The sequence below is a fragment of the Homo sapiens genome, chromosome 6 (genome assembly GCF_000001405.40).
Source record: "Homo sapiens chromosome 6, GRCh38.p14 Primary Assembly".
In the NCBI taxonomy this organism is placed as follows: domain Eukaryota; kingdom Metazoa; phylum Chordata; class Mammalia; order Primates; family Hominidae; genus Homo; species Homo sapiens.
Genome location: NC_000006.12, coordinates 97179867 through 97205535, shown reverse-complemented (window position 1 = coordinate 97205535; position 25669 = coordinate 97179867). Strand labels below are relative to the sequence as shown.

At 36.3% G+C, this 25669-nt stretch overlaps 1 protein-coding gene across 24 annotated transcripts in view, besides 1 other annotated feature; it reads left to right on the top strand.

Moving 5' to 3' along the window:
- Nucleotides 1–25669, top strand: part of MMS22L (MMS22 like, DNA repair protein) — a 141875-nt gene that overhangs the window by 78500 nt on the left and 37706 nt on the right. For 20 of the 24 annotated variants that reach the window (XR_942376.2, NM_001350600.2, XM_047418577.1 and 17 more), the window contains 2 exons: nucleotides 18846–19039; nucleotides 23482–23632. Coding sequence is in view for 23 of the 24 variants with exons in the window: in NM_001350600.2 (NP_001337529.1) it covers nucleotides 18846–19039; nucleotides 23482–23632 (345 nt within the window). In the remaining variant the exon portion in view is untranslated. Of the gene's footprint in view, nucleotides 1–4069; nucleotides 5775–11097; nucleotides 11227–18845; nucleotides 19040–23481; nucleotides 23633–25669 lie in introns of those variants that run through there. The other 4 variants (XM_047418583.1, XM_006715432.4, XM_047418582.1 and 1 more) reach the window with 2 other exon arrangements.
- Nucleotides 2336–2536: a silencer, noted in NCBI's record as "peak5971 fragment used in MPRA reporter construct". NCBI's record gives its function as "represses an SCP1 promoter by STARR-seq MPRAs in K562 erythroleukemia cells {active_cell/tissue: K562}" and the evidence as "EXISTENCE:reporter gene assay evidence [ECO:0000049][PMID:32103011]".

The following is a 25669-nucleotide window of genomic DNA, read 5'->3' as shown; positions in this document are numbered from 1 at the left end:
CTGCTTAGTTATGCAGAACAATTCATGTCCCTGAAAGTTTGTCGCGTCATCTGAAAAATGAGTAGTTTAGACTAGAAAGGATTGGAAAACTAAGGCACTGTTGGTCAGATCTTGTCCATAGCCCATTATTGTGTAGCCATAGAACTTAGGATATTTTTTACATTTTTAAAGAATTGTAAAACAACAGGAAGAATATGTGAGCTAGACATTGCATCTGTAGGCACAGCAACTTAGTCTGGGCAACATAGGGAGACTTAAATGCTTAACCCTGTCTCTTAAAAAAAAAAATACGTGGCCGAGTATGGTGGCTCATGCCTGTAATCCCAGCACTTTGGGAGGCCGAGATGGGCAGATCACGAGGTCAGGAGATTGAGACCATCCTGGCTAACATGGTGAAAACCCGTCTCTACTAAAAGTACAAAAAATTAGCTGGGCATGGTGGCGCACACCTGTAGTCCCAGCTACTCCGGAGGCTAAGGCAGGAGAATGGTGTGAACCTGGGAGGCGGAGCTTGCAGTGAGCTGTGATCGCGCCATTGCACTCCAGCCAGGGCAGCAGAGTGAGACTCCATCTCAAAAAAAAAAAAAAAAAAAAAAAAGACACTGTACATGGCCCTCAAAGCACAAATATTAAAAAAAAAAAAAAATTGCCAGCTCTCTGGCTAGATGTTCTCTAAGGCTCCTCTCAATTGACATTCAGTATTAAATTATAATTATAGTTGATTTTTTTTTTTTTTTTTTTGACACTGAGTCTCACTTCATAGCCTAGGCTGGAGTGCAATGGCACGATCATGGCTCACTGCAGCCTAAATCTCCCTGGCTCAAGTGGTCCTTTCACTTCAGGCTCCCGAGTAGCTGGGACTACAGGTGCATGCCACCATGCCCACCCCCTACCCCCGCCTAATATTTTTAGAGGTTGGGTCTCACTTATTGCCCAGGCTAGTCTCGAACTCCTGGGCTCAAGTGATCCTCCTGCCTTGGCCTCCCAAAGTGTTGGGATTACAAGCATGAGCCACTGTGGCCAGCCCTAGTTGATTCTTTTAAAATGCTAATGTTTTATAGCTCTATGCATTTGTTTTGGGTTTCATTTCTTTCACGTTCACTGTTTAGAGTGATCTGTGATGTCATGCCTAATACCTGCCTCTTCAGTGTCCATTATACATCCAGTTAATGTTATCTTAACCATGAGGATGGTAAATTTTCTGAAGATTCATAACTTGAAATTTAGGTTTCTACTGAAAGGAATTCCTAGTAATAGATACTAAGATGTCAGTTCTATTGAAGGGGAGGCATGGGGATGAAATGCTTGACTGACTTTGAAACACTTAACAATGTCAGTTTGGAACACTTTGAAAATTTTATCCTGTTTTATAAAAAAATACAAATACATGCCAAATAATATTGTTTAATAAACAACAACAACTTTTTCTATAAATTTTTTCGGAGCATCAGTTAATCTATGCTGCTGTGTTACAGTAGGGTTTGGCATTCCTCACTGTGTCATTGAACATGGAAAGTATGGGCCACTGTTAAAGTTTGGCTGCCTTTAAGTGGTAGTCAGCTACTACTGCTGGAGAAATTTAGCATCATATATTGTTTACTTGTTAATATGCATTAAATATAATGAGCTAAGTACTTTTAAACCACTTTTATTCAATATTGTGGGGGAAAATTTAGCCCCTTCCAGAAGAAAGAGATGGTCAGAAACAGCTGCTTTGTAAAGTTGGCATACAATCATTATATTTCTCCAAAGAAAAAATGGTTACCCTGTAATAATCGGTCTAATGAATTCAGAAATTCATTGATTGTCCCAGCTCTGGGTAGATTAGGTAGAGACTTGCTTCAAGGAGTGGAATTTATGAAATGTTTGCTGCATCCAGCAAGCAGAGCTGCTATAATACAGCTGCCTCCTCAGTGGTTTGCTTTGATCCTGTGGAATGAAAGGACAGGAGGATCAGCTCAGGTCTAAATGAGATTACAGCTGGTTCTGCAGCTTATCTGGTCTATTGCCAACTAGTGTGGCTTTGCACGTCCTAAGGGGTTTACAACAGAAACTGTTTATTGAGTATCATCGGTTTACTCAACACAAGCAGGCTAATCCTTCCCAGCCTCAGCATGTTGTAGAATTGTGCAGGAGCCAAACCAAAAGCTGGTGTAGCCAGACCCTCTAGAGCCCTTTGTCTCGCTGTATATTGATTTTTACCTGAGTTAAAGACAGTAAAAAAAATAAATAAATAAATAACCAGTCCTGTTGTGAGCAAAAGGTTAATCTTACCTAAAATCTTACAAAAAGCATCTGTTAACCCTAGAAGGGACAACCTCCTTTTTTTGCCTTTTTAGTCAAGTGGGATTTTCTAGTTTCGAATTTTGAAGAACAAGATAAGAAAAACAGCTTAAAAGATCTTGCTAGGCATTCCAAGTTAAATGCTTAAGTCTCTTCTAGTAGTGCAATAACAAAAAGCTTTGTATGTGGAATATGGGTGATGTGTTTCTAAGTAGTAAGTTTTTGTTTTATATCCTTTTTGTACAAAGCAATTATTTTTTTTGATGTGGCAAACAAAATGCATAAAAACAAGGCTGGAAACCTTAAGGAAAAGAACTCAACTGCCAACATTAATGACCAGTAGTCATCTTAACCTGATCATCCCTTGATTAGTAGTATAGTTCTTTAATGAATAAATGTTGGTGATTAAGAGTATTATAAAGATACACCTCTTATAAATAATTCTGTGTGTGCTTTAGTCTTATTTTACTATTAGGTACTCTTTTAAACCTTCAAGTGTAAGAGTTTAATTATTACAGTTAAATCTTGAACAAAGATGGTTTATAGTGAAAAATGCTTTGGAGTCAGATACACCTGGGTTATAATTCCATTTCTGTTACTTAGTGGTCAAGTTATTTAACCTCTGAGTCCATTTTTTCATCACCAAACTGTAGATGATATTATTTACTTTACAGTATCTAAAAAACCAAATTAGAAAATACTAGAAAGTAGTACTGAGTTAATCAGGTTAGTCAACGCTAAGGTAATAGCTCAGGAACCCAAAGTCATTGAAGATTATATGCATAGGATCCCTCCCATAATGCTAGAAAGGATATTTAAAAGTTGTGTTGCAGCGATCTTCGCAGCTTTGCTCTATATATATAGATCTGAAACATCCATTGCCATATTTAAAGGTATATGATCTCAGGCAAGTGGATAGAGAGGTTGCCAGGTAAACACCCTTCTGTTAGTGCACAGGAGTAGCTACTTGGAAAGCCATCTGTATGAAATCTATGCTAGTTTAAAATTCCTAGGAAGGCCTGAATAGTAAACTGTTATTTAGGATAGGTGGGTGAGCTCTATTTATGTCCTTTCCAGCTTGAGTGATTACTCAGTTGTTTAGTACACAGCAAAATATATGTAAATATTGTCATCTGTGTTAAGTGCTAAGTAAAAGACAAAGGTATGTTGTTATAAGAAGAATACAGTGGTCTCTTGGTTTACTTTCTCCTAATTGGCAGTGAACATGTGTCCTCTGCTATATGTAAGCACAAAAATGTTACTGTGGAAACATTTGTAGGCTTTCTAAAAGTATTGTTCGAGGGAATAAGCTAAGACTGATATTTATCTTAAACACATAGCTTGTCCAATATTTAAACCTAATGGACAAGATGTGTACCAGTTGAAAATGTAATATTTATCCAGTCATTTCTATTCTGTCAATCTAGGCTCTAAAGCAATAGATTGCACTCATAGAGTAATAAATTTTTAGTGAATTTGGAGATAAAGGCTATTGGTGGTGATTGCTTAAACTCTTTTTGCTCAATCATCTGAATGGTGCAAATCAAAGCATTTTGTCAGACTGTGAGAAGTTTCACCTAGATATTGCTTCCCACACACGCGGGTCACCATATAAATTACATTCACGGTTTTACAGCATAGCTGGTGCTGGAAGTTAAATTGATGCCCAGTGGTGGAACTCGTAAAACATTTTCCTGTTAACACGACCAGGCAGAGTTGACATTGTTGATGGTGGGTTCGATCTAATAAACTATTGGGTCTAACAGTGATTTTTACTGTGTTTCAGAGATGATGATGATACAAGTTTAGTGATCCAGCAGTTCTTCCTGAATGACAGAAAATTAGCTCCACTGTCTATATTACCAAATGCTGGGAAGAGTAAGAGTAAGAGGTGATTGAAGCCTAACGTAACCACATGTTCTGAAAGATCATGAATTATAGGAACAAGCTCTTTAACTCAGTGTATACCTTCTTTATAAAGAAAAACACTGATTTTTCTCAAAAGAATATATTATATATTATCTGTTGGAAATACTTTATTATTACATTATTATTCAAATATGTAGGCTGTGTCCACCTTTCACAATCTTTTACACAGATGTTGTAAGCTGATTATTGTTTCTGAAAGGAAAGCAGGTTTACATTTTGGTTACATTTTTTTCTGTGTGTTTTTTAAAGTTACTTTCTTATAAGGACTTTAAGCTTTATCAAAGATTTTTAATTTTGAACTACAGCAACAGTCAATCTAAACATCTTATTCCCATAAGAGTAACTTTCAGGGGTTAATTTCTACTGGCAGTTACAAACAATGGGTACTGTCTTAAGATTTATTTTGAACTACTTTTGCATTGTTCTTAAAGCTTTATGAAACTTTGTCTTATTTGAAAGTAATTTTTTTTTCCAATTTCTAGTTAAAATTCACAGGATGGTAACAAAGCCCTACTCTTTTATCAGTGTAAGCAAGTATCTTTCCATTTCTTCCTTGTTTGACATTATATCTGCTCCTATAGCACTGTTGCACATTCATACTGAATCGGTGATCTTTTTGTAGTTTTGTTCCATTTTATGAGATATCACAGGTCTTTTACTCACCACTTTAACATTTCTTATCCCAGCATATGCATGGATTTTTTTTTCATCAGGAGATGAGCTTTTTTGATGTGCAGATAAATGTTATCAATGGTGCTACGCAGATGAAACCTGTCATGTACAAATAGCATGTATCAAGCCCTAAGCATGCAGATACCAGATAAATCGGTTCATTTGCTGAAGCCTTGCAAAAAGAAATTAGTGCTATAATAAACGCCTTTGAGGCTCTCAGCCCTAATAATGGAGCTTTATAATAAACCCCACAGATCATTGACTCAATGGATAATCTTTTAGGAAACTTTTTCCCCTCCTCTATCTTTTCCTCCCTTTTAAAGAACTACAGTAAAAGTGGTAAATAGCATCTCTATAGGGAATGTATGTGGTATGAAACTACATATCTGGAAAACCATAATTTAAAATTAAGAAATTTATTTACTGCTAAATATGATATTATTCTAAACGAGCTTATACTTTTTGATGATTTTCATAATTGATCTTAAACATGTATTAGTCACTGCTTTTTCTACATAGAATTCATATTAAACATTCCTCCTAAGTTAGTGCATTTTGTACATGAGGTTACAGTTGGATTGTTGACTACAACAGAGGCACAGAGTGAGGAGATCAAAATAAGGCAGAAGAGGAGTCAGGGAGAGAAATTGAGAGGAGGCATTCAGCTTGTACTTAGAAGTGTTTATAAAGTGGTAGAAAGCAGAAGAAAGGGGATGGGGCTTATACACATTTATGTATACACAAAACTTTACACATAATTTCAAGGAGTTTGCAGATTTCTAAAGATTATATATGTACTGCAGGTTTAGCACTATATTACAATGGTGACTAGACTGTTATTTCCATTAGGGTTTGGTTATACTTTTGATGAATAAACACTTTAAAAAATATCCCTAGGTACTTTTTGACTCTTACTTGACTGAGTTTTGAAATCCAAAAAGAAAAAAAAAAACAAGTCACTATTGGAGCTGATGATGAGGTTTGTAGATCCATTAACACAATTGGCAATGGTCACTAGTTTCTGGTTGTATAATTTACTGCATTTTTTGAGTGTGAGAGAAGTGTTGAGGATGCAGAATGCTTAAGAGGTTTTAGAAAAATTATTTATCAAAGAACACTACTTTTCCAGTGCATTAGCTATTGTAATTATACATTGGTACAATCTGTTCACATAGAATTGGATTTGATTTAAATGGAGGTGGGGGGAAGAGACTGGACATTTTCAATATTTATTGATACATAGTCCGTTAAGGTAAATTATAAAGCAAATTTCACTGTGACGGGAACATTTGGGTTGATGTAGTTAATAATCAGTCAACATTACCATTAGACCCTTTATTTATAAAAATTTATTACCAACAATTAGGAAAAATGCTCACAAATGGACTTCAGCCCTAGCTTACTTACTGTGGAATAGTTGACCTCAAAAATCTTTGGCTCTTTACTTTTAATAAAATGACTCCAAATTTCTTTTTTGAAGCAATGCACGCTCCCCCACATAGCATATAGCCACTAACCACATGTAAAATGTGGTAGAATGATTGCAGTTGTCATTAGAGGGTAGCAGTGACTATGTACTACTGTTTTCGAAAAAGACTGCTGGGATGGTGAGAGCTAAGCTAGTTTTTAGAGGATAGTTTTATTAATTAGCTTTAAAAGGTGGTCTCCATAGGTTCATAAACATAATACCTTACATCTAGGGAAAACTAAAATGAAACTTTTGAAAGCAGCAAGAACTGAATAAAGTTTATTGAGAGGAAATATGATAATATACATAAAATGTCTCAGCATATGTTTCATATAGGTGTTCTGTGCTGGATAGGTAGAAAAATAAAGTAGTTTTTCTTAAAATTACCCTTATCTCTGAAATTCATTTGTCCTGAAACCAGTCCAGAATTTCTTAGATTGTTGGGAACGGCTTCTAGGAGACTTAAAACAGCTATTTTGTCTAAGTCTGCCTTTGTACTATTGTAGATACTACCCTGTGGTTATATTTCTAATAAAATTCTTTGTTCCTCCCACCTCCCACCCCAAGCTTCCCAAGTGTGAATTCCTTTAGGTCAGGTCTGCATCTTTTTCATCTTTGAATCTCTAATTCCTACATAGTGCTTCTTATATGCCCTTTAGAGCATAATATACTATGTAATAACATAGTGGGTAAAACACCACAACAGCAATCCTTTTATTATGCTTACAGATTCTGTAGGTCAGGACTTTGAAAAGCCAAGGGCAGCTCTTATCTGCTCTACCACGTCTGGAGCCTCAGCTAGGATGATTCAATGTCTGGAAGTAACTCTAATTCAATGTCTGTGAGTAACTAAAGGCCGAGACTAGAACAGCTGAAGCTGGAGGATCCAGTTCCTAGATGGCTTCTTCTTCAGTAATACATCTAGTTTCTAAGCTAGAATGGCTGGTGGACAAGCTTAGCTGGAACTGTTGACCTGAGTGCTGTCTGTGGCCTCTCGAACAGGGTATTCTCAGGGTCATTGGACTTCCTACATTGCATTTCAGGGCTCTAAAAGTGAGTATTCCCAGCAAACAAGGCAGAAGCTTTATGGCCTTTTATTACCAAACCTTATAGCCACATAATGTCATGTCTGCTGTGCTCTTTGGTCAAATCAGTCACAGGATCTCTCAGAATCAAGAAGTGTCAAAGAATTGTGGCCATATTTTAAAAATTACACGTTTTTCAGCAAACAGTGGAATAGCCAAAGCAAGACAGAGATAGAGATGCAGGGTGGGGGAGGATTGGGAGGAGGAAGAAAATTAAAGATTGTGAGGTGTTCTTAATATCATAGTAATTATTGGCTCCAGTGCTGCTAAGTTAGATAGATTGGTGGTCTCTTCCAAAATGAAAATGAGGGCATATTCCATAAATATTTTGTTCACACTGTTGCTTGTATTCTAACTTTCTTTTTTAGTCACCAATTCCTAACTGCCCCCCGGCCTGAGCTCATTCTTTTTTCTTCTATGAGAATTCAATACATAACATTTTGGATAAGATCTAGTGCATGTGTGCTTGCACAGTTATACCCTATCCATTTACATTTGAAGAGGAAGATAATTGTATTTGAAATCCCAAAAACCAGTATAACAACTTCACATATTTTATAAGGCATGTACATTTTGTTGTGAGATTATTTTCAGAGATGATCTCACCTCTGAGTGCCTTTAACCCCAAGGACAAAGATCCTGGACCTTAACTAGTGGTCCTACCCACGTGATACTCTGGTAGTAGAAAACTTGGAGACTGACTAGCTTCATATTCAGCCATAATCTCCCCCTCTTTTACTTTCGTTCATTACGTTGTACCCACACACTTGCTATTAAATTTGGAGGATGAGTTCCTGGAAATGGGAGCCCTAACTGAATACAAGCAGTGCAAGTTGTCACAATCAGATGATGATCATTCTGCTCTTCTTTTAGAAATTACTAACCTACGATGACGTCTGTAGTTCCTTATAGTTATAATGCCAAAGGATGTACCCAAGCCTTAATTGTGGCCTTTACCCTCAACCATTTCCTTGAAGGCATCTTGTGATGCTGTAAAACTTAAATTTTAACATCCAGCGTGAAAATTTTTATTTTTTTTGTGTGTGTTAACTTCAGGACTATAACTTGTTGGTCATAATGATGCTTATAGGTGAAGCTGATGCTTATGGGTCAGCACCGAAGCTTATGGGTAGCTCTGCCCATGCTCACTTTTATTAGATGAGAGCATAAGATAACGCTTAAGCATTGGCAAAATGTATAGATATAGATATACAAATGTATAGATATAATTATGTATCTATATATGTGTAGTATGTTGTAATGAGTAATATAGATTCGTATATGTGCAAAGTCACACTGCACATACTCATCAGGTTGGGTTTTTTTAATGAAAATATTTCAGAGACAACTAGCATTGTAACATTAGCACAGTGCAGTTAAAGAGGATGTTTAAATGTATAAATATATTAGGCAATCCTTAATAAGCATTAGATTATCTGGGAACAAACCATGAGGAATATATATGTTGGGTATATAAGTTGGTTTTCTCTCATTTCCAGCTACCTTAAAGACTTTACTTTTGGCTCTAACTTTTTGAGATGACATGATCCTCTATGACCTGTTCCTTATCAATACTATAGTTACATTATACAAATGTATAGTTACATTGTTCTTATCAGTACTACAGTTCCTTATCAATACTATAGTTACTGGCACTTGACTAAAGGTAATACCGTCTACTAGTAATACCACACTGTTTGTGAATCCCTTCATGTACCATGCAATTTCATGTCACTATGCTTTACTCATGTTATTTTAACTTTCTGCAACTCTATTATTTTTTTAATTAACTAATATGACTTCTGTAACAGGTAATGGCATGTCTTCTCCAGGAAGTCTTCTTTGAATCCTGTTTTTTACTCTTTACATACCTCTGTCTCGGCACTTAACTGTACATTCTTTGAAAGGAAGGACTATATTTGATAACATCTAGTACAATGGCTCATGTAATTAACAGACATTGACGTGTTCATTAAGATGATCTGAACTATTAGGTAGAATGATTCCTGAGTCTGATTGTACTCTTCGACTCTAGGTCCAGATTTCCAAAAATATTTTCGATAGTGTTACTTCAATTTTCTCTTTTCATATCAAATTATATCCTCCTGTTATAATTAACTGTCCCTCGTAACTTTCAGTTTTTCTCCCCCAAAATTTGGCAATGACAGGCTGCTCCTTCCTTTCCCTCACAAAATGCGAAATAATTAGTGTTGGCTTTTTCCTTCATAAAGTAACTGAAAATGCACATTAGCTCTTACCTGGATGTTTACAGAAGCTTCTTAATTAGTTTCTTTTATCTTTAGTCAGTTCTTGTTCTGACCCATTCTGTTTGCCATTACCTGATTAATCTTTCCCAAAGCACTTTTTTCATTATATCACCCTCCAGTTCAGAATCCTTCAGTGTCTTCTTACCACTTTAAGAATGAAGTCTTGATTTTTCTTTTAACAGCAGGATTAACCATTTTTGTATCTCTAGCATCAGACATAGTGACTAGCACTGAGTAACTTCTTCTGAAGTGAATGAAGAAAACATATGACTGAACAAATGGAACACCATTTGTATTCTTAAATTTATTGCCTTCCAATGCTACTATAAAAATTCTCTATTATAATCAAAGTGGTTACGTTTTTTTCATTCTTCAAACACCTTGTTCTTTTATATATTCCTTTTAAGATGTAAATTATATTACACTTCTGCTTTTCTGGCTTGTTATCCACTTGGATTTTATCCAAAGTCCTTACATGGCTCACAAGATCTTACATGGTCTGGAACCCTGCCACCTCTCCAGTTCATCTGCTGTTCATCTGTCACCCATTGTGCTTCAGCCACTTTGGACTCCTGGTTGTTGTTCCTTGAGTCTGTGAAACTGTGCCAGGCCCAGCACCTTTGCACTTTTTCTTCTCACTGGAATATTCTTCCCCATATACCTGTGTGTTTCCCTCCCTTACTTATTTAGTTCTTTGCTCAAATGTCACCTTCTTAAAAGATGTTTCCTGATCATTGTACAAGTACAATGTTATTGTACAAAGTTCTATCAATCATCATCCCCATACTGTGATTTCTTTTTTATACATAAAGCTCACCACAAGTTCAGGTATTACATGGTTGTATGTTTAATTATCTGTCTCTCATTAGAATATAAGTTCCAGAGGGCAGAGACTTTGTCTGTTTGCTAGTTTTGTACCCTACTGCTTAGAACGTATGCTGTATATGTTGAATTAGAGAGTAAGTGATTTGATTTTATATACCTTTGTGTTTTTACTTTCCTCCTTTTCACCTAAACACTCCTTACCTATCCTTTGAGAATCTCTTCCACGCCCATTTTCTTGTGCTTCCCCCCAAAGGTTTTTCTCCTCTGAGTTGGTAAAACAATCTTATACTTTGTTTTGCACTTATACCTATAGAGTAAAGGAGTATTTTCAATCCTCCTCCATGACAGGATTATGTATGATCTTGTTACTTAGTCTATGAACTGCTAGTTGCATGGTCATTGCCTTATCTGTTGCAGGAATTAAATAAGGCCTATTCAATAAATGAAATAATTATTGATCAGAAAATCAAAGATTGTTTATTGAAAATATATATGCCAGATCTATTCTAAGTGTTTGGCCTTTATTAATGTAATTCTGTAGGTACTATTATTATCCCTTTTTTTTTAGATGAGGAAAGCCAAGAAGGTGACTGCCCACAGCATGGTGCACCATAGGATAGCAGCATCTGCCTGGTAGAAATGTAGACCCTCGGCCGGGCATGGTGGCTAACGCCTAGAATCCCAGCACTTTGGGAGGCCAAGGTGAGCGGATCTCAAGGTCAAGATATCAAGACCATCGTGGCCAACATGATGAAACCCCGTCTTTACTAAATATGCAAAAATTAGCGGAGCATGGTGGCACGCACCTGTAGTTCCAGCTACTCGGGAGGCTGAGGCAGGAGAATTGCTTGAACCCAGGAGGTGGAGGTTGCAGTGAGCTGAGATGGCGCCACTGCGCTCCAGCCTGGCACCAGAGCGAGACTCTGTCTCAAAAATAAACAAATGAGGCCAGGCACGGTGGCTCACGCCTGTAATCCCAGCACTTTGGGAGGCCAAGGTGGGCAGATCACGAGGTCAGGAGATCGAGACCATCCTGGCTAACACGGTGAAACCCCGTCTCTACTAAAAATACAAAAACATTAGCTGGGCGTGGTGGCGGGCGCCTGTAGTCCCAGCTACTCGAGAAGCTGAGGCAGGAGAATGGTGTGAACCCAGGAGGCGGAGCTTGCAGTGAGCCGAGATCTTGCCACTGCACTCCAGCCTGGGTGACAGAGCGAGACTCCGTCTCAAAAAATAAATAAATAAATAAAATAAACAAATGAAATGTAGACTGTCAGACCAACTGCGTCAGGAATTAAAAACAAATAGTAAATATTATGATTGGGCCCAATGCTGAAGTTGCAGAAAGATCTTTAGTGAGGCCAAGACATTAGTAAATTTGTAGAAAGATATACAGATAATTTTGGTGGTAGTCAACATTGGGAACTACTTACAATAATAACAAGGAAGTGGATCCTTGTTACTACTGTGTTATAAAATACAGTGAAACGTAACTGAAAAACTTAAGTAATTTTATACTCATAATCATCTACAAAGTCAAGACTAATGAAAATATGAGGGTAAATTCTAAAAATGATGACTTCTTACTGGTATGTTTTCATACCAGTGCTAGTTACTGTTTTTGGGACACAGGCAAGCAACTTCATTTTAGGCACTTCACCCCTTTTATTGTATGTAAGACAGCATTATTATAGGCATGCTTGGTTTGCTAGGTTCATCACTGGATTCCTGATTTGTTGTTCTTTCCCAGTCTTGCAAACTAAGTCAATTTTGGAGCATAGGAAAATTGTAAATTATCACACATCGTTGACCTTTGGAATCCCTATAGAGCCTGGCACTCCCCAGAAGTATTAAACTTTTAACATGTATGCATCTGGTATATCACCTGGGATTAGCTGTTATACTACTTTATAACTACCTTTATTAAGAACTTACATATGAATGAGTGAATACAGCAATGCGACATTTGGAGCATGTATTATTTATTTGTGTAGTAAAATGGTATTTGAGGCAGCTGTAGCATAGTGATTATGAATTGGGGTATTGAAGCTAGACTGTTTGGGTTCAAATCCTGGCTCTGCTGCTTACTAAGAGCATGACCCAAGCAAATTACTTATCCTTTCTGTACTGAGATTCCTTGTCTATAAAATGAGGACAATAAAGTACCTACAGATTAAATTAGTTATAAAAGGTCAAACACTTAGAATAGGGCTAGTACATATATTATCATTAAACAGTTTTTAATTCTCTGGCCAACCCTAATAGTTACTCTTTATTGAATATGTCTTATTTAATTCTTGCAGCAGATGAGGAAATGACCATCCAACTGCTAATTGGCAAAATAGGATGTATACTTTAGTATGTCTGTCTCCAAAGCTTGTATCTTTCTAGTGATGTTCGAATGCCTCTAAGAACATGTTTATTAGGATTTAGAAGCAGTAGTGCATATTGTCTTGCCTTACAGTCTATGAAAGTGCATATTATTTTGCCTTGTCTACAAAGTATTTTTACCTAAATGCTGTGACTTTAATGCTTTAGCAGCTCCATAGAGGACAGTAGGGCCTTATTTCCATTTAACAGATGAAAAACTGAGGCTTAGTAGTTTTCCAGAGTCACAAGCTGATCTTTTCTGTCTTAGACAAGAGCTCATTTGAAGAATTCTCCTTGCATCTCAAGGAGCCCTTATTTTTCTCTGTAATTATATGTGACGGTAAGCATCATTGCCACTGCTGTGCTTTATCATCAAAACAGTCAATAAACTCTTGCTTTGATTTCACATATTCATTCATTCATTCATCCATCCATCCATCCATCCATCCATCCATCCATCCATCCATCCGTCTACCACCTACTTACCCCCTCCTCCACATATGCACAGACACACAGATGTACTGGGGTGTCTGTTACATGGAGGCATTGCAAAGTGTGCTTGAATGCTACTTGCCAGCCTGGTTTCTCCCTGACAATTTGGGCATGCACAGGATTGGGACTCAGGATTGAAACTACCATTATCTCAAATTGAGGCTTTGTAAAAGTCTCTTCATACCTAGAAGTTGTCTATTGTTTTTTCTCATTTTTTGAAGACAAGATTGGATTGATGATTTTTTGGATAACTTCCACTGTTTAAATTTCAGGGATTTTTTGTTTTTCTGATAATGCCATTACCTTAGTTATGTTATATTCTTCCTGGATAATAAGGCAGAGTAAGCCCTGTTTCACAGATACAAGCAAGTATGATGAGAGGATTCAGTGTCTAAGATTTTTTAGTGAGTTTAGCTGAAGCTAAAAATGGTTATAGAGTGTCCTGATTCCCATTTAGTTTTCCATCAGATCAATAAGATACTTGGAATAATTACTCATAGTGGTTTGGAACAACTTTTTGACTTAAAATTTTCCATTATATTTTTCACTAATAAAGATTTTTTTAAAGTTACCATGTTTGCAGTAGAGTTAAAAGAATTCAATTATTGCTGTTAATCCTTACCAGTCATATTTATTATATTATGCTTTTTCCATGTGATGAAAAGTCCATCAATAGACAATTTTAATTTTCCTTAAACTTTGAGGCATCATGTATTAGAAATAATTAATATACAACTGTGAATACCAGGAAAGTGGTATATAGGATGTCATACCTTATTCTATAACAGTTATAGGAGAAACAATGGTATGCCAAGATTAGAGGCGAAAACTATAAGCAGTGGTCCAGTAAGTGTTCCCAGAAGCCTGCCTAAGTTACTAGGGAGGAGCAGAAACTGAGAGACCAGACTGGCAGGTAGAAGTTTCAGGTACAGGGTTCCATGCGTCTCATATGATAGATGCCTCAATAAATTTGTGTGTCTGTGGGGATAAGGTATCTGTGTGGGAGTAGAGAGGTGGGGGCAAAATGGATAAGTAAACATGAAATCAAAGCAAGAAGTAGCAGACAAATAAAAACAGGAAATCTTGGAAAGTGGGGCAAAAGAGCAGTCAGATGAAAGAATCAGGAAAATACTTGAAGATAATGAGGAAAGCTAAAGGAGGCAGGGTAACTGAGCTAAAATAGAAGCGTAGGAACACCTGGATAATTGGTATGTGAAAGTGTGGGTGTTTATATAGTGTAATGATAGGCTTCTAAACTTTTCAGAATGTTATTTCCTGTGGTCTTCACAATAACCCTGTTAGGTGGATATAGCAACAATTGTTCCTGTTCTTGACTCTAAAGAAAACAGCGAGTTGGGAGGTTACTTGTTTTTCCAAAGCCACACTGCTCTGGATAGCTATGCTAATAACCATGTTTATTACGCAGCATAATTACTCCTTTTGTCTCAATTTTCTCATATATAAGATTTGAATAATAATTATGCCTACCTCATAGGGTGAGAAACGATGCTTATAAAACACTTTGCATGGTGCTGGTCTCATAGTAAATACCAGTAAATGCTGGATGTTGCTGTTATTTCCACCATGAGAGCTGCAATTTGAATAACTTGACATTCAGCAAATTTATTTTCTACTATACTGTATTGTATCTTTTATAATGTAAGAGAGCTGGTTACATGTGTGTATTTCCTTATCTGATCTTGTATTTCCAAACTGATCTTAATGTGAAATCTGTCTTTACTCAAATAAAACAATTGCCAAGTGTTGGGAGATCCTACATCCTTGTGTTATGTCTTTCAGTTTCTGACCAGAAATCACATATTTTTCCTTTTATGCAAAAAATCTACTTACATATTTCTACTGTTTGTGTTGAAGAAGGTAAATAATGCCTCATAAAACAGCCATCACCTAGAACTATATTACATTCTTTATAATATTTTATGTATGTTTTGTGTTTTCTTTTACATTGTTACCTCTAGTGACAGAGCTTCTTCTTTGCATTTTTGTAAATGTACCTTCAGCAGATATGCAGTGGTCACATCTAATATAATTTATTTTTCAGTAGTCTGTATAATTAGTTTTCTGGTTCAAACATGTGATTTTAAAAAATTACCAGTGTCTGCAAGGAGTATTTCTAGCTATTTGGCTATAGTGCAAAAATTTGGTTCTTCCTTCAGACTTCTATTACAGTGCACTCTTGGCATTTCCTGTATTTGTCACTCACTGATTTCTTTATGCTTAAATAAATTATTATTATAAGGTCTTAAACAACTAGGTTCTGGTTTAAAATAGCAGGTAATCATTTCTTCTTATCCAGACTGAAAAAGCTTGAACTTTCAAACTATTGAGCAGGAAACATTTTGCATATTCCCGGGGATATTAGCTGCTTTTCAAATCCAAAAACACAAAGTGGGTGCACATTTCCAACACAAGTGTGGTTTGGGGTCAGTGTCTTACCCTTAGTTGAAACTTGTCTTAGCTGTTTTAACTCAACCTTGGAGGATGTAATCTATAGCTTTAAAATTTTTTACCTCACAATGGTTTTTTTTTTTTAATTAATTATTCTTTTTTTTTTTTTTTTTTTTTTTTTTTTGGAGACAGAGTCTCGCTGTTGCCCAGGCTGGAGTGCAGTGGTGCAATCTCAGCTCACTGCAACCTCTGCCTCAAGCAATCCTCCAGCCTAAGCCTCCCAAGAAGCTAGGACTACAGGCACATGTCACCACGCCCGGCTAATTTTTTGTATTTTTAATAGAGATGGGGTTTCACTATGTTGCCCAGGCTGGTCTTGAAATCCTGAGCTCAGGCAATCCACCCACCTCAGCCTCCCAAAATGCTGGGATTAGAGGTATAAGCCACTGCACTCGGCTTTTTTTTTTTTTTTAAACCTAATGGATTCAGAACTTTGAGTCCTATCCCCACGTTAGCTCATACTTATACTCCCTGGTACCTCAACGTTTTGTTGTGGAGAGGTCAAAGGTGGTTCACATTTGTTGGCCTTTCTCATTATTGCCTTGAATACATGTTTTCTAGCATCTCTTCTTATAGTCTTTCCTAATGTTAGAATTCTGATGTTGCTCCTGGCCCTTCAAAAGACACAGCTACATGTGGCTTTTCCAGCCCCTTTTCTTAAGCTTTCTGAAATTCCTTTATTTTATTTATTATTATTATTATTTTTAAATTATTTTGAGAAAGTCTTGCTCTGTCACCCAAGTTGGAGTGCAGTGGCACAATCTCGGCTCACTGCAACCTCCACCTCCTGGGTTCAAGCAATTCTCCTACCTCAGCCTCCTGAGTTGCTGGGATTACAAGCGTGTACCATCATGCCCGGCTAATTTTTTTGTATTTTTATTAGGGAGGGGATTTCACCATGTTGGTCAGGTTGGTCTTGAACTGCTGGCCTCGAGTGATCCACCCACCCTGGCCTCCCAAAGTGCTGGGATGAAATTTCTTTAACCTAAGTAGAAAGAGAAGATAATTTATCAATGTTTAATTCACTTAAAACTTGTGTATGTGTAGGCGCATAAGGGTGCATGTCTTAGTGTGTAAAAAGAAAAGTGGGCTTCAGAGTCAGATTTAAGTTCAGATGATGGGGCCAGCCCTTTCTAGCCATGTGACCTTTGGGCATATTTAGCTTTCCTACTGTTAGCTTCGTCATCTATAAAGAGGATTAATGATACCTATCTCATAGAGTTGTTCCGATTTTAAAAGAATTTAATTAATTTAAGGAATTTCTAGCACATATATAGAGGTCGATCAGAAATGTTACTCCTTCCTAGGGAATAGGTTTTAGTTAGTAAATAAAATGGCTTTTTTAGATATGGTGAGCAAAATCCATCCTACTCAAGTACCATAAGTTATTTATTGTCTTTTGAAACCAATATACTTTGAAAAAGCTATAAAGGGCAGTAGAAATGGTGGTATTATTTTACATGGATTCCACTGTGTAGAAATGTACTGTGAACTTTGCTATGTTGATATAGGCAGTTGAGTTAGTTGCCAGATAGATTTTAGTGGTTTGTTATTTATCTCACTCTAAGATAAAGGAACTGAAATGGTTCTCTAGCCACTAGTTCAAGTTGAAAGCATCTCAAGAAGTTTTTACAGAGAGGACATAGCAGATATTTGGTTAGCTTTTATGAGAATTGTTTACTGTATACTCTTTCCCCAGCCATTTGTTCACTTGTTTTTTGAATATTTCCTGTAGTATTAAGTAATATCCCATAATTTTCCAGGAATTCCAATGTAAAGGGGCTCAAGGCCCTAATGTTATACAGTTTATACTTAGAATTTTTACTCACTCTTGGGTAGTTATGCGAAATATTCTAAGATGTGATCTTATAACCAGCTTGATCTTTTTGTGGGATTGCTTTAGATACACATGCTAGTTCTGTGTTTTGTATAGTTCTTTCATGTTATCCACTTCCCCTAAACTGTTTAAAAACATCAAACATCTTTTTTAAAGTACTTAATTATTTTTCTTAGTGGAATGCTATCTCTATTAAAGGAAGTCTTCTCCATAATTTCCATTGGTTATTTTTTGCTGCTTTCTGTATAATTGAAAAAAAAATGCAAATGTAAATGTATCCATGCATTTATGTCTACTCAGTTGATCTGGCAGTAATATAAACAGAAACAGGAATAATAGCATGGTTGTACATTTAGTTTTAAATAATCATATTATCAGTGGGTGCACAACATAAATGCCTTCTGTTCCACATCACTAAGAAGATCTCTTATTTCCCTCTCTTTGGTAACCTCAATTTCCTGCACGTTTCTATTAAGGTCTAGAGATATCTAAATTTTCGATTGAATTAATCAGCAAAGGTGAGTAAATGATTAATCAAAATTTGAGGCAGTATCGAATTATGTTTTATTATTTTATGAAGAGCAACTTGTTATTGTATATTATTGCCTACCAAGTGAGAATGATTATGAATCTTTTGGGACCAAAGTAGTAAGATTGTATCTAGCATAGTTTTGTCTACTACACAAGGCCTGTGTCTTCTAAACAAGGAAAGTATTTTAATTTAAAATACCACGCATAAGCCAGTTGTACTTACCTTCCTCTTGGTACATCCATGTCCTAAAGCCCTCAGGAGAAAATTGTTTTAAAAATTGTTTTCATGTCTAGATTTTAAGTAAAAATCACTTGTCATGTGTGAGTTGCAAAATGCAGACCTTCATTCTGAAGCTGCCTCTTTCTCATTTGGATCTGACATATTAAAAAGCATATAATTAATGGTTGACATTAGTAGTTAACATTAACTTTATGATGCTTAATATGCCATCATTCATCCATCAAACAACCAGAAATGCATAATGTCTTGGCATAAAGGTTTTAATTATATAAAATGTTTCTCATATGATATAAATGGAAAAAGCTCAAAATGTACTTTAAGAAGATTTTTGTAAGCATTTATTAAGGGTGTTAGCTGTATTTTTATTTCTTTTTAGGAGTATGCATCAACAATTGTGTCAGGAACTTCAAAGGGACAATGTGGACCTATTTGTACAGTCTTCATTATCGGCTAAAGAGCGCCACCTTGCTGCAGTTGCCAGTGCACTGTGGAGACATTTCTTTTCATTTTTGAAGAGTCAGAGAATGTCACAGGTAGTGCCTTTCTCACAACTTGCGGATGCAGCTGCAGGTCAGCATTAATTATTAATTTGCTAATTTCTCTTTTTGCAGACTCTTTGTCAGTATTTTCCTTTATTTTCTTAGTAACAAACTCTTGTATAGCAAACATTTTGTCAGCCAGAAAGATGAAACAAATTACATATTAATAAATTGGGATCCTTTGGCTTATTTATTGCTAAAAATTAAATGATTATTTACTAAAAATAAGATAATTTTCTATCCTGAAAATATTGAATATACATAAGCTTTTCTTATGCATGTAATATTTTGGAAGGTAAACTAGCATTTGATTACGTGTGATTCAAGTAGTTTATTTTCAAATTGTATGAGCAGATACATAGGTATAAGATGAAGTTAATTTGTGTAAAGAGCAAAAGAATATAAAATAAATACCACTTCAATCCCAAGAAGATGAGATCAGAATGACACTGAATATATAGGATGTTATTGTTCTGACTTCTACTAGATTCTACTTTAAGTTGTAATTTTTACTTAATTTGATTATTAACCTAAAGACATGTCCTTAGGCTTTAAGGGACTCTGGATCTCATGAAATTATAGGTAAGAATTTGAATATATGCGCATATATATCATTTCTAAGAAGAGGCCATTGTCTTCTCAAGGGGGTATTTTGCTCAAAATATGTTAAGAAGTATTGGAATAGACAGTGATTAGTATGGTAACTCCATGTACTTGAATGAAGTCCATTTAAAGGTATTTAATTTATTTTTAAATAATAGTTTTAAAAACCTAAGATTTAAACCAATATTTATCCTAGTGTATACGAGGAAAACTGAGCTTAAAGTGCTGTGTAAAAGACTAATGATTTAAATTTGAAAAGATTTTGAATTCTGATAACACTTCTATAATTAGGACTTTACGATGATAGATTAAAGAATTGTGACAGGACAACAATTTTCCAACTACTGTAATGTCTATGAAAATAAATATTGATATTCAGCCAGTTTAAGCAGTCATTAATAGATGATATAACTTGTGTACATGCATCATCCCAACTGCCAGTCAACAAAAATAATAATGCATCAGTTCAGTCAGTGCTGTCTTAGATGCTGAAGATAAATGGTATATAAATAGAAAGCAAAATATGTGTACTTTGGCTTTGATTTGAAATAAAGACTTGATAGTTTAGGAGAGAATGATTTTCTTCATTTAAAAAAAGTTACTGAATACCTAGTTTAATAGGCATTGGAGAGATACTAATGGAGAAGAAGGACAAAAATACTTGTTCTGATGGAGCTCATAATCTAGTGTTGGGGCATAGGAAGACCACTAAATGAGTAAATAGTGTAATGTGTGGTGATAAATGCTGTGGGAAAGAGTGGAATATAGGATAGGAATACAGAAGGCCAGAGGCAGTTGTGATTTTAAATAGAGTGGTCAGGAAGGCCCAAGTAAGTAATATTTGTGCAAAGAACTGAAGGAGATGAGAGACCATGCTTTGCAGAAGTCTGAAGGCAAGAACATGTCTGGTGTGTTTGAGAAACTATAGGGAAGCAGCAAAGGCTCATGTGGAATGAGAAAGGGAAAGAGAACTAAGAGATGGATCAAGAGGTAATGGAGAGCTAGTTTGTGTTCTGCCTTGTAAGTGGTTATAAAGACTTTTGGTTTTACTCTGAGATTGGAAGCTGTTGAAAAGTTTTGAGCAGAGGAGTGATAAGAGTCCTCTGGCTGCTAGGTTGAGGCTAGACTTATAGGAAGACTAGGCAAGGGGAAAAGCAGGAAGGCAGTTAGGGAACTATTGTAATAACCCAAAAATGAGCAGCTGTGGCTAGAGTGGTGGCAGTAGAGGTGGTGAGAAGTGGTCAGGTTTCCCATCTGAAGAAAGTATTTTCAAGGTAGAGATGACAGAATTTGCTAAGTGGGTAAGATACGGTAACCAAATAGATAAAGAGAGGAATTAAGGGTAACTATAGCCATTTGCTGAGATGAGGAAGATTGAGGCTAGAACAGATTTTATGAGGGAAGATTAACATTTTTGGTAATTTTTTTTAAGATGTTCATTAAATCCAAGTAGGCATGTTAAGTAGGCACTTAGATAATGATCCTAGAGTTCAGGAAGAGGTCCAAGCTAGAGATTTGAAGTTGGAAAGCATCCATATATAAATAATTCTTTAAAACCATGAAACTGGATGAGATCACCCATAGAGCAAGTATGGATGAAAAGAAAAGTTTGAGGACTGGGCCTTAGGGTATTCCTTTGTTCAGATTTGTAGGGTCAGGAGAAACAAGAAAGGAGACTGGAGAGGAATGAAGGTAAGTTAAGAAAAAGCAGGGAAGTGTGGTGCCGTGGAGCCCAAAGAGAGGAAAGTGATCAACAGCTCAGTTTCTATAGATGGATCAAGTGAGATAAGGTCTGAGAATTAGTCATTGGATTTAATAAGAGGGAAGTCACTGGTGACCTGAAAGAGCAGTTTGTATGTAGTGGAGAGGCAAAGGCCTGATAGAAGATGATTCCAGAGAAAAGGTGAAAAGAGCAATTCCAGACTGCAAATTTAGATTAATCTTTTTGAATATCACTGTTTAAGAGAAGTAGAAAAATGGGGATAGTAGCTAGAGGGGTCAAAGAGGAAGGTTTGTTTTTGTTTGGTTTTTAAATAACATGGGAGACATTTCAGTATATTTAAAATGCTGACAGGAATGCTCCAAAGTGAAGGAAAATTGCATGGTACAAACAAAGTCACTTTTGTTTTAGTGCCCAGATAAAATGGGATCTTATAGAGAACTTGGCCTCAGTTCATCTCTAGTAGCAGAAGAGAAGGCAGAATAAGTGAGCCCAGATGAAGGCAACTGCGTAAATGTGGTAGCAGCTTGTGATAGTTCTCTTCTGATGTTTCTTGTTTCTCTGTGAAGTATTAAGTCAGTCCATCAGCTGAAAATGAGGAAGGGGCAGAAGGTGCTGGCTGTTGATGAAGAGTGAAGAGAAGATATGCAATTGTACCCTAAGAGAATAAAAGACTGAATGGACTAGGGAAATGTCATAGGAATGCTGGCCAATTCTAAGAGCCTACTTGAAGTCTGTAGTCATAAATGTAAAGTGGTATCAGTCAGCATGGTTCTTCTTCAGCCATTTAATACTGGTACATGTGGGGAAAAGGCCAAGAGTTTGAATTAAACAGGTGATGATTTTTCCAGGCGAGTACACAAATCAAGAAAGGAGCAAGAGTTGGTAGTATAAATGAATGAGTATAATAATGGACCATGCAATCAAGTGTCCTAAAAAGGGACAGGGAAGGCATGGAGACAAGGAGGGATGAGGAAATGGTTGTAGGATCAGTGGATTTTAGGTCCTGATGGAATCAAAGAATTGTTGGAGTTGGGGGAGAAGAGGAAAGTTGGAAAGCTAGTTTGGAGTCAAAAATTGGGGTACTTTACAATTGAAATTACTGAGATTGTAGTTACTGGTAATGCCAAGGTCGCTGGGTATCAGCATGGGAGTGAATGGCTGACGTAGAATGGAAGATAGATTCATTAAATCAGAGGAGTTCAAGAAATCAAGAGTCCATGACACTGGAGAAAAATAATCACAAAAGATTATGGCAGGAGTGCTGTTGGAGAGCATGATAGTGAGCTACAGTCTACAAAGAATGAGAGGAGGAGGTGAACTAGGAAGTAGTAGGTAAATGCAACAAAGATAGTGACTGATATAACCTGATGATATGAAATTCAAAGCTAGCAATTTTAGGGAGGAAGAGGGGAGAATAGTCTAGAAGCAGCAATGTGGACCAAGGAGTAATCTCACCCTGTTGGTAGATCAAGTGGTATACGGGGAGTGGGAAAATAGACAGCCACCCCGTTTCAGAAAGCTGCATAGGAGTTCTTAATAAATAATGTATTGGCAAACAAATTAATATCATACAAAATGAGTTTATGGGTTCCCAAGAAAAATCACAAAATAAAACATATTTGTTTAGCATGGTTAACTAAGGAATTCTAGTTCCTAGACTTTGTGGGTTCTAAAGGAAGTGGAGTGTCATTGATTGTAGGAGATCTCTGTTTAATAGAAGAGAATGTCCAGTGTCTAAGGTGAGAAGGAACTGTTCACCTGTGGCAGATGACAGGCAAATTTGCTTCCTTAGAAGACTAGATGCTGGACATATTTTATAAATAGGTCTTTTGAATGGTGGAGGCACATTAGCCAAAACCTCAGGCATAGAATTTGTAATTAGAGGGAGCCATTATAGATCTGTAATGATAATGCAGAGATAAATTCTTCTAGGCCTTTCTTGGAGATCTAGATGCTACAGAAATTTCTATGACAACATGAATTTGTTCAGTTTTAGCTTTTTGTTTGCTCTACATTTCTAAGTAGAACATTTTATTATTTGTTACTTAAAAAAAAAAAAAACACTTGTTATAATTGGCCAGGGGTGTGTGGGTCAGAAATGGTTTTTAAAGATTCCTGACTTTAAGTTTCTCTCATTTTGAATCTAGACTTTACTTTGCTAGCAATGGACATGCCAAGCACAGCTCCATCAGATTTTCAGCCTCAGCCAGTTATATCAATTATTCAACTTTTTGGTTGGGATGATATCATCTGCCCTCAAGTTGTAGCAAGATATTTAAGTCATGTCCTACAAAATAGGTACGTGCTTTTATTTCAGGCATACACATTAATGCAAACCTGTGACAGATCAGTATCCTAGGAAGCTAAGAATTTTCACAAATGAGGACTGATCTCTACTACATATACTCTCACTTTGTCAGGTTTTTGCTTTCAGATATATCAGCCTTTCGACAGTAGTAATAGTAAGAACACTAACTTATATTTTGTGGCCTGCTTTAAAAAAAAAAAGTTGTTTGTTAAGCCCTTTCAAAACTGTTTTTGTAAGACTGCCTTATCATCATACTGAAGTGACCTTTCTACACATCCCACTGTGAAAGAAATTACACATTTATTATTACTGAATCTGTAAGATACTGGTATTTATTACAGTCTTCGTTTTAATGATAGCTTTCCTTTTTGCTGCTAGATTTTTAACTGTTAACTCACTCTTAACTCATGAGATCATGAGTTTTCACTCTTAACTCATGAGATCATGAACAAGATACTTCACCTGAACAATGTCTTCCTTATCTATAAGTATTTCCTGCCACATTACACAAGAGATCTGAGGAACCTCATTGGAAAAAAAAATAGAATGAATAAAGTTACAATAGAAATAGTGTAGAGTGGTCAGGAAGACTTGAATAAGAACATCAAGATGAGAGAAAATAAAATAAATATACAAGCCTAAGAGGTCTTAGTCCTCTTTTTAGTAACAACTGCTTGTAGAGTGAGAGAGCATATTCATGACCACTTCTCTGTTTATTTTTTCTAGGGTTTTTATTTTTATTCTACTTGCCACTTTCTTCATTACTATCTCACATAGCTAGTTATAATAAGCCCTTGCTTTTCTCTTGGTAGCCATAGTCTTTCCTGTCTTCGTCCTTAGCATAAACCTACACATACGTCGTGTGTACACATGGCATATGTGTAGGTTTATGAGATCTTAGTCCTCTTAGGCCTGTGTATTTATTTTATTTTCCCTCATCTTAACGTAGTTTTTGTCCAAGCTGCCCATCAGTGGAAATGAAGAGAGATGTAGTTGGTGAGCTAAGTCTTTTCCTAAGGAAGCTTCAATAAGCAGTATCATTAAGTATACATTTTTTCATTGGGCTTTCAGTTGTAAGGTAAGAGAGTTCAAATTCAGTTGGATTACTTTTACAATCCCTTCCAGTTTGGGAATTCTTTAATAGTAATGAACATTTATATTATGCATTAAAGACTTTTGCTGAAATAATTTGAAATAATTTCTACTTAAAAAATGATATTGTTAGCGTATTAGTAACATTTGAAGAAACTGAAATGCAAAGGTGCTATATAGCTTTGGGAAAGTTATAAGGTAATAAATAACCAGTCTGTGTTCTTCTTCATTGTGTCCTTTTTTATGACAACTTATATTCGAGGTATTTCAAAACATTTTTAGATTTGTGGTTTGTATGAATTTTAAAAATTTTGGACATTACATAACATTTTATATTTAGGTTAAGACCATCCCCATCCTCTCTACCCTGACTAATGAATGGGTTAGAAATCAGGTTTAGTGGCCAAGCACGGTGGCTCATGCCTGTAATCCCAGCACCTTGGAAGGACAAGGCAGGCGGATCATAAGGTCAGGAGATCGAGACCATCCTGGCTAACACGGTGAAACGCTGTCTCTACTAAAAATACAAAAAATTAGCCGGGCATGGTGGCGGGTGCCTGTAGTCCCAGCCACTTGGGAGGCTGAGGCAGGAGAATGGCGTGAACCCGGGAGGCAGAGCTTGCAGTGAGCCAAGATTGCACCACTGCACTCCAGCCTGGGCAACAGAGCGAGACTCCGTCTCAAAAAAAAAAGAGAAAAAAAAAACCAAGTTTAGCCAGCCCATTGTCTTCATATAAATAATTATTTTTTAAATCTGGCAAATGGTTTTGGAATTCTTTGTGAGGTAATTTTTAGTAACAACTCTCCGTATAGTGAGAGAGCATACGTTCATGACTACTTCTCTGTTTACTTATTCTAACGGACACTGATATTTATTCTACTTGCCACTTCCTTCATTATTATCTCACCTAGCTAGTTATAATAAGCCCTTGCTT